The 20560-nt window shown below is 36.7% G+C and overlaps 1 protein-coding gene and 1 pseudogene across 7 annotated transcripts in view; one reads left to right on the top strand and one right to left on the bottom strand.

The window, feature by feature from the left end:
- The window catches only part of STAU2 (staufen double-stranded RNA binding protein 2), a 327112-nt gene that overhangs the window by 91098 nt on the left and 215454 nt on the right, over positions 1-20560 (top strand). The gene's annotated exons all lie outside the window — the stretch shown is intronic.
- Positions 4243-5402, bottom strand: VENTXP6 (VENT homeobox pseudogene 6; annotated as a pseudogene).

Below are 20560 nucleotides of genomic sequence, written 5' to 3'. Positions count from 1 at the left end.
ATCAATTGCCACGTCATTAAAAATAATTTCTGATGGTAGATCACAGTGTGTGTTTTGGCATAGAAAAAATTGAGTGACCTTGTTATAACAAAACTCAGAGTGATTTAGTTTTTAATGTGAATTACATTTCTTAGTGATTATACCTGAAATAAGTGAAATAAGAGTAGAATTGAGAACTTATCTCATTTTAGCAGTAAGAAATATTCTTTCTTAGATACATCAATATAAAGAAAAAAAGCTCTGTAAATGTCAGTGAGTTTCATGTCCATTAATATTTTACTTTTTGTTTAAAAATTATGTGGCCTGGCACGGTGACTCATGCCTGTAATCCCAGCACTTCGGGAGACTGAGGCGGGCGGATCACAAGGTCAGGAGATTGAGACCATCCTGGCTAACACGGTGAAACCCCATCTCTACTAAAAATACAAAAAAATTAGCCCAGCGCAGTGGCTCATGCCTGTAATCCCAGCACTTTGGGAGGCCGAGGCGGGCGAATCACGAGGTCAGGAGATTGAGACTATCCTGGCTAACACGGTGAAACCCTGTCTCTACTAAAAATACAAAAAATTAGCCGGGTGTGGTGGCAGGCACCTGTAGTCCCAGCTACTCGGGAGGCTGAGGCAGGAGAATGGCGTGAACCCAGGAGGTGGAGCTTGCAGTGAGCCGAGATCGCGCCACTGCACTCCAGCCTGGGCGACAGAGCAAGACTCTGTCTCCAAAAAAAAAAAAAAAAAAAAAAAAAAGATGTATTAAAATTATAATATTTGTTTCATTATCTGCTAATAATTTCAATAATGGCTCATTGCACAAAATATTTTCTAACTTACATGGAAGTACAAACTCCTATAATTTTAATTAATATATCTATTTTTGTTGCATAGAATTATGGTAGAATGAGGAATAAAAGACTTTTAGTTATAAAATATGAAATTAGGATGAAATGGAGAGAGTGCAGTAAAATGCAAGTTAAACAAGATACAGCTGGTGTAAAATTTCTGTTGTATTTAACAGAATTTATGTATTTTTTGAGTAGATAAAGGTGGATGTCAGCTTGCTATGATAGTTCAGTTTTTGGATACACTTAAAAGAGTGACATAATTTTATTTTAAAATGTAAATATTTACAGTAAATTAGAAACTACATCCTTTGCAAGTACTTAATGAAATTTTAAAAATGTGAATTAAAACTTTAGCTGTAAGAAGAAATATGCAAGAATATGTGTAACTTTCTAAAATGTTTTTGTAGGGTACAAGCATTCAAGTTTGAACACTACTGCCATAGATTTATTTGAAAAAGAAGCTAAGTTAGAGATGGCTATTGCAGAATGCAGAAGAGGTGTACATTTTTATCCTGATTTACACATGCATAGGCAAATGTGGTGGTTTAAGAAATGGTTTGGGCCGGGCGCGGTGGCTCACGCCTGTAATCCCATCACTTTGGGAGGCCGAGACGGGCAGATCACGAGGTCAGGAGATCGAGACCATCCTGGCTAACACGGTGAAACCCCGTCTCTACTAAAAATACAAAAATTAGCCGGGCATGGTGGCGCGCGCCTGTAGTCCCAGCTACACAGGAGGCTGAGGCAGGAGAATGGCGTGAACCCGGGAGGCGGAGCTTGCAGTGAGTCGAGATCGTGCCACTGCACTCCAGCCTGGGCGACAGAGCGAAACTCCGTCTCAAAAAAAAAAAAAAAAAAAAAGGTTTGATAATTAAAAGAGTTCTTTTTTTTTTTTTTTTTTTTTTTTGAGACAATCTTGTTCTGTCATCTAGGCTGGAGTACAGTGGCATGATCACGGCTCAGTGCAGCCATGACCTTCTGGTCTCAAGTGATCCTTCCACCTCAGTCTCTCTAGTAGTTGGGACACCATGATGTCTGGCTAATTTTTTATTTTTTGTAGAGATGGGGTCTCACTATGTTGCTCAGGCTGGTCTCAAACTCCTGGGCTCAAACAATCCTCCCGCCTTGGCCTCCCAAAGTGTTGGGATTACAGGGGTCAGCCAGTGTGCCTGGACAGTTAAAAGGGTCTTGAGCTTGAACATAGCAGTCATAGTTAAGTTTTTGGGCTCAGTTATACCAAAAATTGAAATCTTATTTTTCTTTTCTGGTATATAATGTAATCCTCCCATTTATAAAATAATAAAATTGTATTTATCACCTTACTACTATGTATAGGTAAAAATATTTATCTTGAACCATTAGAGGGCAGCACGGTTTTATCTTTGAAATTAGCTTTCACAACATGTAAATGCTTTTGAGTCACAGGCTTAATATAAGCATGATTAAAATAAACTATGAAATTTTAAGTTAAAATTAAAATATTTCATTTGGAATTTTTGTAATATAAAAAATGTGGTAGCAAGATAAAAGTAAGTCATCCTTTTATTTTTTCCCTCCCCTTCCCTCTTCCTAACCACATTAGAACTTTTACAAAGTTTGAAAAGCTATACAACTTGATTCTAAACTTAATATTTACCTTGATTTTCAGATGAAGAGTTACCTAAGTCAGTGTTATAAGATGTTCCATGGTAAAAGGGATTTGAAGACAAATTTTGGAAATGCTGCATACTGTATCTCTCTTGAAGACTCCTAAAGGTGTCATGAAGAAAACTGTTTACCTAAGTGGTTCCTAACACTGACTGAACATCAGGCTTTCCTGGGCAGCTTTAAAAATTCTGATGCCCAGACTTTATGTGGACTAATTAAATCAGAATTTCTGGTTGCAGAGCTTGAACCGCACTGTTTTTTAAAACTTCCCCAAGTAATTCTATGTCCAGTCATTTAAATACTGGTCCCCACAACCCAAAACACATTACCCTCTATTAACATCAAAGATTATGAGATGGTTTGAATAGTCATAGAACTTTTGAAAGAAGTAAAGAAGAAGGGAAGAATTACAGTTAACCACACTCCTTAAGGATAATTGTTCTGGACAGCTAGCTTCCCCACATTGCTGAGGGTTCACTTTTTTTTGGAACCTAAAACTTTACTTAGTTCAGTAATTTTGGATAGAAATATTTCTAAAAGTTATGGCATATATTTTTTATATCCTTAAATAGAAAATGCCACAATTCTTAGCATGAAGAATCCTTGCTGTTGACTCATTATCAACCTTATAAACAATAAGTATTACAAGCCTCATGAGATATGTACATGGTTTGTCCTTATACCAGATAATCCTAGACATCTGTTTCTAGAGTACCCAAGTGTGCTTTTAGTTACTTTCCAAATCATTGTTGTCAGTCAGATTGTCATCTTATTTCTTGTTTTTGTCAGTGCACCTTTGCATATTGCTTGCTCCTTTCTTTGATGCTTTTCAATTGCTATTATCTTGAAAACCGATATTATTGTTTGAATTTGGGGCAAAGTAAGAGTAGCAGGGCTTTAATTACGCCCTAAGATGTCCCCTTAACTGTGGAAAACATCGAGTTTTATCTAGTTGGTGAATTTTTTTACTTCAGAATTTATTTTTTTCTGTCATAAATTTTGCTAAGGATCTGCATTTTGAGTAGAATGAAGTGGCCAGATAGTTGAATAATGGTTTGGTGAATATCTATATGTATATATGTATGTGTATGTGTGTTACACATACATATTTAATGACATGAAGTACTTTGGTTGCTTGGAATTGGACAGAAATAACAGTTTTTTTTTTTTTTTGGGACAGAGTCTTGCTCTGTCACCTAGGCTGGAGTGCAATGGCGCGATCTCTGCTCACTGCAACTTCCACCTCCCAGGTTCAAGTGATTCTCCTGCCGCAGCCTCCCGAGTAGCTGGGATTGCAGGCGCCTGCCAGCATGCCCGCCAGCACGCCTGGCTAATTTTTTTTTTTGTATTTTTAGTAGAGATGGGGTTTCACTATGTTGGCCAGGCTGGTCTTGGAACTCCTGATCTCGTGATCTGTGTGCCTTGGCCTCCCAAAGTGCTGGGATTACAGGCGTGAGCCACCGCGCCTGGCCAGAAATAACAGTTTTAATAAATTTCATGAAATCACTTTCTTGTATGTTAAAGGAAACAGAAAGGGTTCATTTGTGCATGGTTTAGTCTTTCTTTTGAATGTGGAAGTTTTTCTTCTTATTTGTGTGTCTAAAAAAATTAAAAAGTGAAACATTTTCCAAAATGAGAAGATTTGCTAGTAAGTAATGCATACTTCTATGAAATTATCTGCCTGAGTTTGATAATTTTATTTATATAATTTCTTTTTTTTCCCCCTTCCAATCCTTCATGGTTTTCTTTTTTACACACAAAGCCTACAACCTTTACTTTTTCCAACTGGAAAACCAGTTTTTCCAACACTTTTTAAAAAACAAATTACCCTTTTATCATATGCTGAAAGCCCTCCCTATAACAAGCCCACTTCTGCGTTTGACTCTACACTGACCCTTCATTTACTTCCTAAACCAACCCTTTTGGTAACTTTTGGTGAAGAGGTGGCTTTAATAAATATATTCTCCAGAAATCTCCAGAACCTTTGCGTGGGTCAGGGTGAGAGGTGCCTCCACAATGTAAACAGAACAGCTGAGTTCTCTGGGTAGGTGCCAGGTGCAATCTGCACAGACCTGTATGGGAGGCCTGGAGTCAGAGGCATTTCCTCAAAATGCATCCCGTCTCCGGCAGAGCACACCAGGCCCCAGGGCCCCGTGGACAGGGCTGGTCCCAGCGTATGCATGCCACTTCCTGGGCTTTGGGGGGTGGTACGCCAGAGGCTGCCCACAGCAGCAGGCCCACTCAGAGGCCAGGGCCTCTTGTTCCACTTGCAGAGACCCCAGAAGGAGCCAGGGGACAGCATCAGAGTCTGGGGCCCAGGCAGGGGTGCCCAAGGGCACAGCAGGTGCAGGCCATTGGCAAGGCCAGAAGACGGTGAGTGGAAAGCCAGGGGTGCGTGCAGTGACTCCGAGAAGAGGCTGTTCAGCTGGGAGTCCTGCATTTGCCGTTCGTGTTTCATGCGGCGATTTTGAAACCAGGTTTTTATCTGGACCTCCGACAGCTGCATTTCCCTGGCCAGCCTCTTCCACTCCAGAGGGCCCAGGTACTGGTGGTGCTGGAAGATGCCCTCCAAGCCACGGACCTGCTCCGTGGTGAAGGCTGTGTGGACACAGTGGGGCCCGCCAGGCGTTTGGCCCTTTCCTCAACCCAGCCATAGCCCTCTCTGGCGGAGGCAGATTTGAGGACCTAGCCTCCTTGATGCTGACGGCCTGAGGGGGCTCCTCGGGGCCCGATGCCTGGTCCGGGCCAGGGAGGCTCCCCAGGGAGACCTCGGCAGGCCTGGGGGTGTGGGTCGGCCCTGAGCAGCTGCTTTGGGAGAGCCAGTCCACGGAGCCAAAGCTAGAGGGCTGCTGCCCGCCACAAGGTGGGGAGGAGGAGGGACGCATGGCCGGGCAGGGCTGGCCAGGGGCAGGATCCAATATTTATATCATTTCCTCAAAGATGTTCCTTTATCGACTTGACGTTTTTGCTTGGCATTACTTCTATTCTCCCATTTAGAGTCCTTACATATATATTTTTCTGTTCTTCTATTATTGCCCTTTATTTTCAGAGTCTCTTCTTGGGAACTGAAAAGGAAACTTTCTTTTGGAACTTTTGATTTCTAGGTGTAAGAACTTCTGTTCACTAATTTGATGGAAAAAAAGAAATAGGATTGCACAGTATTTTTCTTTAGAAGGAAAAAACCCACCCTTTTTGTGAGTTGTAGATCAAAAGTCAACAGAGAAATGTTGGTTCCACATTAAAAATGTCCTAATACGTATTACCGTCTGATGTATAAGTAGCAAATATTCTACCTTTAATAGTGTTTAGTTAGAGATGGGGGTTATCATTTGTCAGGAATATTAAAGAGAACTTTCTTTGGTTTGATATAGATGAGTGACTTTTAAAACATTTTTGACTCTGACCTTTGCTAAGGAATTTTTAAAAATAATGTGACCCAGTATATAAATACATACCTACATCCACACACATATACATTTTTACATATATCACTAAAACAAAAAATTTATGATACGATAACATCTGTATTATACTCTAATATTTTCTATTTTGTTTTATTAAAAAATTATAGTTGTGGTTTATTAAATTTATTTCATGACCTGTTAATGGGTCATAATTTATACTTAAAAAAAATTTAAATGATTTCCAAGGTTTCATCCAACATAAGATTCTATGTTAGCATGACTCTATGCTCTCATAGAGAATCAAAGCTCATCATAGAGCAGCTGGGACCATGTTAAATTAGGAATGATAATAGAAATTCTCCCAAGACATCTGGATATTCAGTTATCCCCATCATATCTGGAAGTCCAGTGTCACCAGTTACTCAAAAAGTACAGAATCTTTGAATAAAATCTGCGATTTACTTAATACTGTTGTATCAATGTTCAGTTTCCAGTTTTGACCAGTGTTACTGTGTTTTTGTCAGTTGCTAATGTTAGGGAAAGCTAGATGAAGGGTGTGTGGGAACTCTGTGCTATCTTTGCACCATATATATATATATATATATATATATATATATATATATAAAATTATATAGAAGACATATATACTAACTTATAAAAAATTAAATATAGAAGAGCATCTTTGAGTAGTGTGCTCTCAAAGATATCTAAAACCTTCTCAAAGACATCTAAAGCGTTGTGTTTGGAACTTTTGTTGTGATATATTGATGATAATATCATACAAACTGCCCTGTCCATCATAGTACATTTTAATATGACTTTTATAAGTAAGAGAAAGAAGCTTAGTGAGCAGTATTAAAGTTGAGTTTGTTAATCCTATTTGATAGTTACTTGACAGTTCCTTTTAGGAGTTTAGAACTAGGAGAAGAATTAGTAGAATAAATTCTTCAGAGAAGATACCAAATTACAGAGTGGGGGCTGGTATTATCTTTTTTATAATTTCTATTGTGATGGAACAAATATAATGAGGAATAGGTGAGTTTAGAGATAATTTCTAGAAAATTGCAAAGATCAGGGTCGGCAACCTGGACCTCTGTGTTGAGAAAGGGGTAATGGGGAGCAGTGTTAGTCAATTTAAATACAAATAGAAGTCTTTACTTAAATGGTAAGCAAGAATAATGATCTGTATGAAGTGATGAGACGTTGGAAAAATGCCACTTATTGGATATCAAAAAAATATTTTTAACTGGCTGAGTTAGAAACAAGAATATGGGATGTGCAGAATGTTTGGAAATCTCGGTCTTTGTTTTGCATCTCTGAACTATTACACCATTGAACTACTCTTTCTTGGCTTGATGCCTTTAGAAACTACATATTAGCTTCATCAAAAAGCTCTTATTGGAGGCTGGCCTGGTGGCCCAGCACTTTGGGAGGGCAAGGTGGGAGGATTGCTTGAGGCCAGGAGTTTGAGACCAGCCTGGGCAACATAGCAAGACTTAGTCTCTACAAAAAATTAAAAAATAAGTTGGGCATGTGGTGCAGGCCTGTAGTCCCAGCTACTAGGGAGGCTGAGGCAGGAGGATCGCCTGAGCCAACAAGTTTGAGGCTGCAGTGAGCTATGATGGTACCACTGTACTCCAGCCTGTGTAACAGAGAGAGACTGTGTCTCTAAAAAACAAAAACAAGAAAACTCGCATTTGAAAAACAAGACACAACTGAAAGACTCCAAACCTAACCCTTTTCAGAAAATCAGAGGATAACCATTTACAGTAAAGAAAAAGGGTAATTTTAATGGCAGAAGTTAAAAGTTCAAAGAAAATTGCATGTTGGGTATTTTTTGTATACTTATCACCATGCTGACAGCAGTAAGGTGATTCAAGGGAAATACATGAAATTGTTCCTGCCCATAGGAATGTGTGTTACCTTCAGGGAGATAAGATGATAACAGTAAAAGTTATGTAGTCTACTGTGTGTAGAACACTGCCAGTTTCTTTATACACAGACGTGGTGGTTCTCCAAGGTATATATATTTTATCCCTGTTTTAGTTACGAAGAAACAGAGACTCAAGTTTAATTTGCTCAGTATCATTTATGAAGTAAGTTATAGAATTGGATTATAAATCTATTTCTGCAAGACTCAAACCCATTTTACAAAATAATTTTGTTATTGGGTATTTTGGATACTGTGAAGTAAAACACTCGAAGCCTCACTTCAGAACGTATTTTTTCTAGAATAAAAATCACCATGAAATAAAATCATTCAAGAAAATACTAGGAATGATAGTATATGTGGGATGTAAATTTTCAAGATACGTATTTGGAAACTTGAGAATGTAGATACTGCTAATTACTATTGATTTAGTTATTCTGTCTTCCTTTTGAAAAATCTTTTTATTTAGAAATAATTAGAGATTCACTGAAAGTTGTAAAAATGGCACACAGAAGCCCATGTACTCTGCACTCAGTCTCCCCCATTGGTTACATTTTACAGACTTGTAGGACAATATTTCAAACCAGTATACTGACATTGGTAAATGTATGTGTTGTAGTTCTGTTTCATTTTGTCACATGTAGATTCATGCAAGCACTGCAGCAAACAAGATGCAGAACTCGGCCAGGCATGGTGACTCATGCCTATAATCTTAGCTCTTTTGAAAGGCCCAGGTGGGACAGATAGCTTGAGACCAGGAGTGTGAGACCAGCCTGGGCAACATAGTGAGATCCTATCTCTACAAAAATAAAAATAAATTAGCCAGACATGGTGGTACATGTGTGTTGTCCTGGCTACTTGGGAGGCTGAGGTGGGAGGGTTGCTTGATACCAGGAATTTGAGGCTACTACGAGCCATGATCACACCACTGCACTCCAGCCTGGGCAACAGAGTGAGACTGTCTCCAAAAAAAAAAAAAAAAGATGCAGAATTATTCTGTCACCACAAAGCTCTTCCTTATGTTGTCCCTTAACTACTCTTCTCTTCACCTCTGCTACCCTACTATCTCTAGCCCTTGGCAACCATGAATGTGTTCTCCATCTCTATGCTTTTGTCATTTCAAGAATATTACATAAATGGAATCATAGTATGTGACTTTTTGAATAGTATTCTATGTTTTTGAGTAGTGTTCTGTGTACCACAGTTTGTTGAACCCTTCACCTATTGAGGGATGTTTTGTTTTTCTTCAGTTTTTAGCTATACATATAAAGCTGCTGTGAATATCTATGTATGGGTTTTGTATGGACATAAATGTTTATTTCTTTGGGATAAATACACAGGAGTGTGATACCTCAGTTGTGTAGTAAATATATGTTTAGTGTTCTAGGAAACTGCTACACTATTTTCCAGAGTTGCTGAACTGTCTGGCATCACAATCAGGAATGTATGAGAGATTCAGTTTCTTCTCATCCTCCACAGCATTTGTGGTTGTCACTATTTTTATTTTGGTCATTCTGATGTGTAGTTATATATCATTATGGCTTTAATTTGACATTTCCATAATGGTTAGGGATGTTGAACATCTTTTCGTGTGTGTGTGTGTGTGTGTGTGTGTGTGTGTGTGTCTGGCTGTGTGTCTTTGGTGAAATATCTCTGTCTTATGCACATTTTCTATAAAATTGTTTTTTTTTTACTGTTGAGTTTTGAGAGTTTTGTATATATTTTAGATATAAATCCTTTGTTAGATATGTGGTTTGCAAATCTTTTCTCCCTGTTCATAGTTTGTCTTTCCATCCTCTTAACATAGTTTTTCATAGAGCAGAAGTTTTTTATTTTGATGAAGTCCAGTTTATCAGTTTTTTTTGTGAGTGTGCTTTGGGTATCAAGTCTAAATCTCCTCACCAAATCTAGATCCCCAAAGGTGTTCTCCTAGGTTTTCTTTTAAAGGTTTTATGGTTTACATTTAAATGTACATTTTGAATTAGCTTCTTTTTATCAGGTGTCATGTTTAGGTCAAAGGTTTTTGTTTCGGTTTTTTGCCTGTGGTTATCCAGTTGTTCAGCACCATTTGTTGGATAGCTCTCCTTCCTCCATTGAATTGCTTTTTCACCTTTGTGTAAAGACAGTTGGCCACACTAGTGTGGGTCTGTTTCTGGGTTCTCTATTACGTTCTGTTGAACTCTGTGTCTCTGCCAACTCCTCACAGTGTTATTACTGAAGTTACATAATAAGTGTTAAAATAATATAGAGTGGTTTCTTATGCTTTATTCTTTTTCAAAATTGAATACTCTGCTTTCTTTGCCTTTCCATGTAAATTTTAGAGTAAATCTTTTCTTGTATTTTTACTTTCACCTTCCATGCATTTATTGCTGGTATGTAGACCTACATTTCAATTTTTGTATTTTGATCTTGTGTCCTATAAACTTGCTAATTCACTTATTAGTTCTAGGTAATTAAAAATATGTTTCTTTCTACACAGACAATTATTTCATCTTTAAATAGGGACATTTTTATTTCTTTGTTTCTGATCTGCTTGCCTTTCATTTTGATAAGGTTTGGATCTGTGTCCCCACACAAATCTCATATTCAATTGTACCAATGTTGGAGGTTGGGTGGGGTGGGAGGTGATTGGATCATGGGGATGGTTTCTCATGAATGGTTTAGCACCATCCCCTTGGTGCTGTTCTCGTGATAATGAGTGACTTATCATGAGATCTGGTTGTTTAAAATTGTAGCACCTCCCTCCTTTCTCTCTTCCTCCTGCTTTGGCCATGTAAGATGTGCCTGCTTCCCCTTTGCCTTCCACCATGATTGTACATTTCCTGAGGCCTCCCAGAAGCAGAAGCCTCAATGCTCCCTGTACAGCCTGCAGAACCATAAGCCAATTAAAACTCTTCTTATAATTTACCTGGTCTCAGGTATTTCTTTATAGCAATGTGAGAACGGACTAATACGTGTTTCATTTCTTACCTTATTGCACTGGCTAGATCTTCAAGCACTGTGTTGTGTAAGAGTAGTGGGAGTGGACCTCCTTGCCTCATTCTTCATGTACAAAACATTCAGTCTTTCACCATTAAGTCTGATTTTAGGTGTAGATTTTTAGTAAATATTTTAAATCCAACTGGACATGTTCTTCTTCCTAGTTTTTTGAGAATTTTTTTTATCGTGAATGGGTGTTGAATTTTGTTAAATGTTTTGCTGCATCAATTAACTGATCATATGATTTCTCATTTTTGACCTGTTAATGTGATAGATTACATTGATTGAATTTTAAACATTGAACCAGCCTTGTATGCTTGCAATAAACGATACTTGGTCATGGTCTAAGATTCTTTATGTATGTTGCTAAATTCTACTTGCTAATATTCTATTAAGGTTTTTTGTCTCTATAGTCATGGACGATATTTGTCTGTAGTTCCCCCCACCATAACCCCTTTGGCATTCTTTTTCTGATTTTTATATCAGGATACTATTGTACTCATAAAAAGAGTTGGGAGACATTCTCTCCTCTTCTGTTTTCTGGAAGAGATTTTATAGAGTAGACATTACATCTTTAAAAGTTTGGCAGAATTCTTCCTGAAAACACCCACAACTGGAGATTTTCTTTTTTAGGAGTTTTAAATGTATGAGTTCAATTTATTGAATACTTATAGGGCTTTTCAAGTCATCTTCATATTGGGTAAGTTGTGATAGCTTGTGCTTTTTGAGGATTTGGCTCATTTTGTCTAATTGTCAAATTTCTGTGTGTAGAATTGATCTTAGTATTCCCTTATTCTTTTGATGTCTACAGGATCTCTAGTGATAATCCCTGATTCTTTTCTGATATTGATGATTTGTGTCTTCTTTTTTCTTTGTCAGTGTTGCTGGAAGTTTGTCAGTTTTATTATCCTTTTCAAAGAACCAAGATTTTGTTTAATTGCTTTTATGTATAGTTTTTTTCTGTTTCCAGTTTTATTGATTTCTCTTCTTAGATTTACTACCTTCTGCTTTCTTTAGATTTACTTTCCCCTTCTTGTTCTTTGTTCTTGAGGTGTGGGCTTAGATTATTTATTTGAAACGTTTCGTCTTTTCTTTCTTTTTTTTCTCAGACCATTCTTCATAACATTTTTTTTTTTTTAAGAGACAGGATCTTACTCTGTTGCCTAGGCTGGAGTGCAGTGGCATAATCATAGTTCACTGCAGCCCCAAACTCCTGGGCTCAAGTGATCCTTCTGCTTCAGCCTCCTGAGTGGCTAGGACTACAGGTGCACACCTGGCTAATTCTGATCTATGTATTTAGTGTTATGAATTTTTCTCACTTCTGCATCTCACAAATTTTGATATATTGTATTTTATTTTCGTTCAGTTTAAAAATTTCCCTTGTTAATTCATTGACCCCTGGATTATTTTAGAAGTGTAGTTTCCAAGTGTTTGGAGATTTTTCCTGTTATCTTTGTTATTGATGTTTAGTCTGATTCCATTGTGGTCAGTGAATACACTATGTATAATTTCACTTCTCTTAAATTTGTCAGGTAAGTTTGTAAAACTTACTTTTCAAAATCTATTTCTAATTTTTCATTTTGCCTTCTTAGTTCCTCACTTTCCTGCTTTCTAGGACAAGTCCATACAAACCTTTGGCTTACCAGAGGTGCAGCTGTAGCATTTTATATGAGTGTATCTATTTATGCAAATTATATACTATGCTTTCACTTCAGAATGTGTTATGAGTTTCCATGTAACTAAGTGTACAACTATTTAATAAATTTACATAGTATTCTGCTGTAGTAATACACCATAATGTATTGTCATTTTTGTTGTAGAGTTTGTTTCTAGTCACTATGAAGTAACAGACAGTAGCACAGAAAACAAACATGGGGGCATTTTCAAACACGGCAGTAGTTCCTAGTCTGTGTTCCCATCTCTTTTTAGAGTATAAAAGTACAGGTATATGGTATGTTGATCTTGCTTGATGGGCTCACTGGACCTCCTGTTTTTAAATTGATATTGTCAGAGGCCATAAGGACCTCTTCCTCCATGATGGCTACCTCTTAGCTCGAAGCTATTATACTATTTGGGCTAACCCTCTGGGTACAGGTACCATTTTGTCTTAGATGGACATTGGGCATTTCAGAGGATATGCAGATTCACTGTCCCACTTCACCTAGTCTCTGCCCCCATAGGAATGTGAACTCCTTGATTGGGACTCAGATGCAAGTGATTTCCTTCTTGTATGTGTGTAATATGTGACTGGGTGGTAATACTTAACGGAGTACTGTATGTATGGGATTAGGGTCTTTACCATATTTGCTATATTAATTAAAGGCTATAGCTGCCTAGTGTGGAGGATGTTTAATTGGAATTTCATGTCTATTCTAAATTTAGTGGGAGAACCTTTTAGGATTCTTGCTTTTGCCAGTGGATAGAGGTTACTGCCATTTACTGAGATGGGAAAGAATGGAGAAGAAACAGATTTGGAGTGCAGTTAAGACTTCGGGGATAGACATGTCTGTAAGACATCCAAGAGGAGTTGTCAAATATGTGTTTCATGTAGGAGACTGGACTCAGGAGAGATCTAGATGAGAGAGGTAACTATGGGAGTTGATTGCATATACATCACCCTACAAAGCCCTGCTTTTTCAGACCTTTATTACTTCTCTAACCCACCTGCTGCTCCCTGCTGTTCCAACTTCACTCCAGCCACACTGGCTGCAGTTTCCAAACAAGTCAGGTATACTCCCATTTTAGAGGTATTTATTTTCTGTTCTCTCTCATTTGCCAAGGTCTAATGTAACCTTTTCAGTCTTGCCTTTCATTTCACCCCAACCCACTCCACCCTGTCCTACCCTGACATTCCCCAGGCCCCTGCCTTGCTTTTTTCTCTATGCCGTCTAGTTTCATCTTTATTAGCTTTGTATGGCTAAAGCAGATAAAATAAAGAAAAGCAGTGATAAAAGAGGTAAAGCAGGAGAGGGTAGGCAGAGACTAGATCCTCCAGGGCTATTTTACGAAATTTGGTCTTCATTTTCAGAAGAGTGGAAGATGAAAGTTTTTTTTTTTTATTTTTGGACGGAGTCTTGCTCTGTCGCCACGCTGGAGTGCAGTGGCGCGATCTTGGCTCACTGTGACCTCCGCCTCCCGGGTTCAAGAGATTCTCCTACCTCAGCCTCGTGAGTAGCTGGGATTACAGGCACATGCCACCACGCCCAGCTAATTTTTGTATTTTTAGTAGAGATGGGGTTTCACCATGTTGGCCAGGATGGTCTTGATCTCCTGACCTCATGATCCACCCACCTTGGCCTCATAAAGTGCTGGGATTACAGGCGTGAGCCACCGCACCTGGCAAAGATGAAAGTTTTTGAGTGGGGGAGACCTGACCATGTTTGCATAGAGAAGCAGTAGGAGAAAGGCAAGAGTGGTTATGGGTAGATCAAGTGGGAGATTATTGCAATAAAATAGAAACAAAACCAAAACCGAAACACATTTAGTGAGTGATCCAAGCATTCTCCTAAGTGTTGAAGAAACTAGGATGGTTCCATCTCCCACTTAAGGAGTAAGTCTAGAAAGTTAGAGAAATGATGTCTACTTAAAGATAAGTGCTCTAGTAGAGGAAGTTCATAGTGTTGTGGGAGTATAAAAGAGTACATTTGATCCAGAGGTTCCAGGTTTGTAAACCTGAACTTAATAGTTGAACAGCTTTCACAAAATTACCACTTAGAATTAGTCTCACAGAATTCTAAAATTTAGAACCCAAAGGGATGTTTATCTGATTTCGACTAGAGATTAGAAAATTTTCTAAAGTATGTTTTAAGAAATTTTAGGTTTTTTTGGATGTTAATAAGTATGACACACAAAAAGTGGTTAAGTTTGGACAATACCAGATTAAACCAACAGTTTTCTTTACTGCGGAACTTCTCAGAATTTATGATCTGCTTAAGTACATTATAAATCTTCTAGAGATGTATATAATGTGTAGCATTTCTCAGACTCAATTGGCCATAGATCCTGTTACATTAATGAATGATCTGTGGATACAGGGCAAACTTTAGGAAATGCTGGCTGACATGATTTGCTGAAGATCTTAACAACTAGTTAAAGGGTAAGCTATAATTAAAATACAGTTTTCACAACTTTGTCCTTTGAGTTTTCTAAGACATTTCAGTATTACCATATGAAACAGTGTTAACTATGAAACTACCAGGATTCTTTTTTTTTTTGCAAGGGTAGGAGGACAGGGGTCTCATTCTGTTGCCCAAGCTGGAGTGCAGTGGCACCATCTTGGCTCACTGCAACCACCACTTTCTGGGGTCAAGCCATCCTCCCACCTCAGCCTCCCTAGTAGCTCGTTAATATAGACCAGGTGGTCCAAGGGCCACTATGCCTGGCTAATTTTTGTGTCTTTTGTAGAGACGAGGTTTCACCATGTCACCCAGGCTCCAGGATTCTTTTGGCCACATTTTAATACTATATTACATTTGGAATTAATGAAATTCTAAATTTGGCATAATATAACTAATAACTTTGTATCACTCAGTGGGCAAGTATTATATAGAGTTAGTTTAAGTCTACGTGAAATTTATGACCTAGGAATGTGTAATGAAACAACACTTTTCTGTTTTTTTTATTGCTTCTTTTTTGTGGCTTTGAAATATTAAGAATACTTCATTTTAGCTTTCTTAGCTTTGATTCCGTCATTATTTTGGCAGATTATACTGTTTTAGAACTTACATATGGTAAAAATAATGGCATAGTAAAAATGCAACATTATTGATATTCAGTTATTAGAAAGAATGTTTGGAAAGTATTTCTAGTAACTACTTTTCATGTATTTCTAGATGAGGCAGGGGTTGGCAGTCTAGAGCCCACAGCTTTCTTTTTATGTATGTCCCATGATCTAAGGTTGTATATTTAAAAATCATTGAAAAAATTAGTAGAAGATTGGTTTGTGATGTGTAGAAATTATATGAAATTCAGATTTCAGTGTCCATAAAAACAAAATTTTATTGGAGCACCACCACCCTCATTTGTTGATGTATTGTCTATGACTGCTTTCTCAATACAACAGCAGTATTGAGAAGGTGTGTTAGAAACCTTATGGCCTGCAAAGCCTAAAATATTTACTATTTGGCTCTTTTCAGAACGTTTGTGGACCTCTAGTCTGTATTAATGAATAATAGAGTGTATGGGATTATAAGTTTAGGTATATCCAATATAGGAAGCTATGTTTTATATATAACCAATTCTTTAAGTCAGTGTCTTCTAATCAGTTCCACTTATTTGTCCCTGCTGGTTCTAGTCTCTTTTTTTTTCTGGTAGAAGTTGTATATTTTATTCTAATTTTGTTTCATTTTTTTCTTTTTTCCTATTGATCAGTAAACAGTATATGATGTGTATTATTATAGGAAGCACTTGGGTTTGAGAAGTATCTTTGTAAAATAAATCTTGAATAATTTTATATTGTTTCTATACAGTTGATTGATGGGGAACACTTTTTATATTTGAAGTTGACTTTGATAGGCTAAGTTCTTTTTAAAAATAATTATTTCATATGATCATATTAGCAACAGAATGTTATTCTTACTGGATTTAGTTGGCCCGAGGAAGTCATAATTTAGTTTGTTCCTAACACAACTGGAGTAAATATTCTTAGAATACTTCACCTCTTTGATTTGAATGCTGTTACCAGTGTATAAAATTTTATGTATCTATTTGTATTCTATTTGATAGCTTTTATTGGTTCTTAAGAGGGTTTGTTAAATTTTCGTTTCCAAATATTGAATAATTTTGCAGTTGAATTTTTTCTTTTGCAAATTTTATGGTTTGGGAGAGATAAAAATAATATCAAACCAGAACAAGGATAATGGAATTATTGATGTCTTGTTCAAACATCTAAAACATGGAATTTTAAAGAAGTAGCTTTAAATATGTAGGAGCCTCTACGGTGCTAAACACGTCCTTTTCAGTGTAATTTTTAGTTTCAGTTGTAATACAGAAGTTTATTTTCAACCTGAGTGATCTGAGAAGGTTGTCGAGCATGAGGGTACCAAGTACGGCTCATTAGCACCTTACTATTAGTACTATCTTTTTTTCTTAGGAAGGGTTAGCTAGACTAGAATATGTTGCTAGGCTTCCATGTCTTTCGTTTTAGCATCTCATTCATCTCCCAGATGTTTTGGTAATAAATTCTCCTTGTTAGCACAAATGAAACTAGGATCATGTCCTCCCTTCAAAGAGCATAGAAACAATTGTATACATTCTCCATGATTAAGGAATTTCTGGGTATTCACAAATTGTATTCTTTTTCCTTTGTTAGTGTAGGTACAAAGATAAATTGAATAAAATATACTATTAAAGAAAATTTTCAAGTGGATTTAGAAACTCGAACCAGTGAAATTAATGTATCATAGAAAAAATTTTCACTATTAAACTGTTAAATTGTTAAAAACAAGATACTACAATTTAAATAATATCTGTTGAACTTTAACAAGAATTTGTGGGTTTGTTTTTCTTTTTTGTATCAAAATAATGGTTATATTTCATATTAATCTTTAGCAACTAAAATATATTGTGGCATCTTCTTATGGAATCATTTGTATGTTCAACAAGCAGTTTTTTATGTTTTCAGAAATAGTTGATATCATTTCATATTAATCAACTATTTCTGTTGCAACACTGACTGGTATTGCTTACACCATATTAAAAAACACATTTTTTTAAATCAATTTTTTACTACTTGTACCAACTAAATCTAGTAAGAATATGACTCAGGTCATGTGATCATTTCATATTAATCTTTAGCAACTAAAATATATTGTGGCATCTTCTTATGGAATCATTTGTATGTTCAACAAGCAATTTTTTATGTTTTCAGAAATAGTTGATATCATTCAGTTTGGACAGTAATAACAGAGGTACCTAATGAGTTTTTAAAAACAGGTAAGCATGGGACAGTGACTGAATTTAAGAATGTCTTGGAAAATATTAAGTCTAGAACTTTAGTGGGTGGAATTTTATTAGACTGCCAGTGAAATTGCAATTATATTTGAAGTTACTCTGATGGACTCTTTTTAAAAAAAAAAAAAAAAAAGAATATTTCAAATGACCTGGGTTATATTCTTACTAGATTTAGTTGGTACAACTAGTAAAAAATTGATTTAAAAAAATAAGTGTTTTTTAATATGGTGTAAGCAATACACAGTCACTGTTGGGATAGAAATAGCTATTATTTGAAAAAGGGAGAGGAGTCAGTTTCCTATAGTCATATAGGTTTGTAAAATGCTGGATCAAGGAAAATTTAAACGTTTTCTTATTGTAGAAGTTCTCAGAGCCTTTACTTTTTTATTTTTGTGGGTATTTAATTTTTTGTATTTATTTTATACAGTATAAAATATAAAAAATTCAAATATTAATGTAAATACTATGCCACCCCTGCATTCCAGTTACCCAATTTTGCCCCTGCCCCTGCCAGTTTCATGTATTATCCTTTCAGGATATTCTCTGGATATGTATATGTATATGTATTTACTTTAAGAAAGTATCATTCTGTAATAGTATTCCGAATCTGTTTTTTTTTCCTTTGAAAAATACCTTAAACAGCATTCCATGTCAGTATGTAAGAAGCTGCATTATTTTTTCTAAACTGATTATGAAAATTTTAGAAACCCTGCAACCATATAGGTCTATTTAACTCCCACCCCATATATAGATGTCATTTGTATTACATTTATATAGATCATAACTTCCACAATGTTATGATTTTTTGCTTTAGTCTATATCTTAAAGAAATTAAGAGAAAAAGGTCTTGAATTTATTTGCCCACATATCTATCATTTCCCTTTTTTTGTTTTGTTTTTGTGTTTGTGTTTGTTTTTGTTTTTGTTTTCTCTGAAGATCCAGATTTCTGTCTGGCTTTACTTCTCTTCAGTTTGAACACCCTTTAGTATTTCCTGTAGTGCAGGTCTTCTGGCAATGATTTCTCTGAATTTTTGTTTACTGAAAACATCTTTATTTTGCCTTCAGTTTTGAAGATATTTTCATTGAATATAGAATTCGGAGTTGACAGTTTTTCTTTTTTTTCTTTTCTTTTTTTTTTTTTTTTTTTTTTTTTTTTACTTTCAGCACTTTATAAAGACTTTAAAGATGTTGTTCCACTTGTCTCCTGGCCTCAGATTTTTTCTCTTGAGAAGTCATCCATCATTTGAATTGTTGCTCCCCATAAATAATATGTCTTTTTAGCTTTTAGCAGTTAAACTATAACATATCTTGTGTGGTTTTCTTTATATTAATCTAGTTCACTGAGCTTCTTGAATATGTAAATATGCCTTTTACCAAAGGAAATTTTTGGGTCTTAGGTCTTTTAATATTTTTCTGTTCCCCCCTTTTCCTCCTCTCCTTCTGTTAGACCTTTTTTTTAATTTTAATTATTTTTAATTTTGTCTAACAGGTCCCTAAGCTTCAGTTCATTTTTTTAACTTCTTTTTTTCTAATAGTTAGGTAGTATAATTTCTGTTGATTAATCTTAATTCCTTGGTCATCTCCTTTTGGCTATTATGTCTATCCAGTGAATTTTAAATTTGAATATCATATTCTAGAATTTGTTTGGCTACTTTTTATAATTACTGTTCTCTGCTGAAATTCTCCATACATTTATTCATTAAAAGCATATTTTCTTTGATCTCTTTGAACATAGTATAACTTTGCTGTTAGTTCCTTTTTTTTTTTTTTTGAATACAGAGTCTCCTCTGTCACCCAGGCTGGAGTGCGGTGGTGTGATCTTGGCTCACTGTAACCTCTGCCTCCCAGGTTCAAGCGATTCTCATGCCTCAGCCTCCTGAGTAGCTGGGATTACAGCTGTGTGCCACCACACTCGGCTAATTCTTATATTTTTAGTAGAGACAGGATTTTGCCATGTTGGTGAGGCTGGTCTCGAACTCATAGCCTCAAGTGACCCACCCACCCCAGCCTACCAAAGTGCTGGGATTACAGGCATGAGCCACCACACCCGGCCCTTTGCTGCTAATTCTAACATCTCGGTCATTTCAGGGTAGTTTTCTGCTTACAGTTTTTTTTCTCTTGAGAATGGATCATTTTTTCCTGTTTCATATGTTGAATAATTTTGGATTGTATTCTGGACATTGTAAAATTATATGTTGTAGAACCTAGATTCTATTATGTTCCTGTGAAGTGTGTGTATGTGTGTGTGTGTATGTTTTAGACAGGCCCTCACTCTGTCACCCAGGCTGGAGTGCAGTGGTGCAATCTTGGCTCACTGCAACCTCCACCTCCCAGGCTCAGGTGATCCCCCCACCTCCGCCTCCTGAGTAGCTAGGACTATAGGCACATGCTGCCATGCCCAGCTAATTTTTTGTAGATATGGGGTTTTGTTGTCTTATCTTTATAGATATGGGGTTTTGCTATGTTGCCCAGCCTGGTCTCTAACTCCTGGGTTCAAGCAATCTTCCCGCCTTGGCCTCCCAAAGGTGTTAGGATTATAGGCGTGAGCCACTATGCCTGGCCAAAAAAATTTTTTAGGCAGGCAGTTAGTTGGCTGGGGTCTCAACAAAACTTTTCTGCATTGGGTGGCAGGCACCTCAAATTCTAATCTCGTAGCTAAATTTCTTTGAATTGGTTCCAGGGGTGTGTGTGTGTGTGTGTGTGTGTGTGTGTGTGTGTGTGTGTGGTTCAGGGGTCAGATAGAGATTCGAACAGTTTTATACATAGAATATGAAGCTCCCTCTCTCTCCAGATTATTTATTTATTTATTTA

The sequence above is a fragment of the Homo sapiens genome, chromosome 8, assembly GCF_000001405.40.
Source record: "Homo sapiens chromosome 8, GRCh38.p14 Primary Assembly".
NCBI classification, from domain to species: Eukaryota; Metazoa; Chordata; class Mammalia; order Primates; family Hominidae; genus Homo; species Homo sapiens.
The sequence above is the reverse complement of the archived record's forward strand: the minus strand, read 5'-3'. Positions and strand labels throughout refer to the sequence as shown.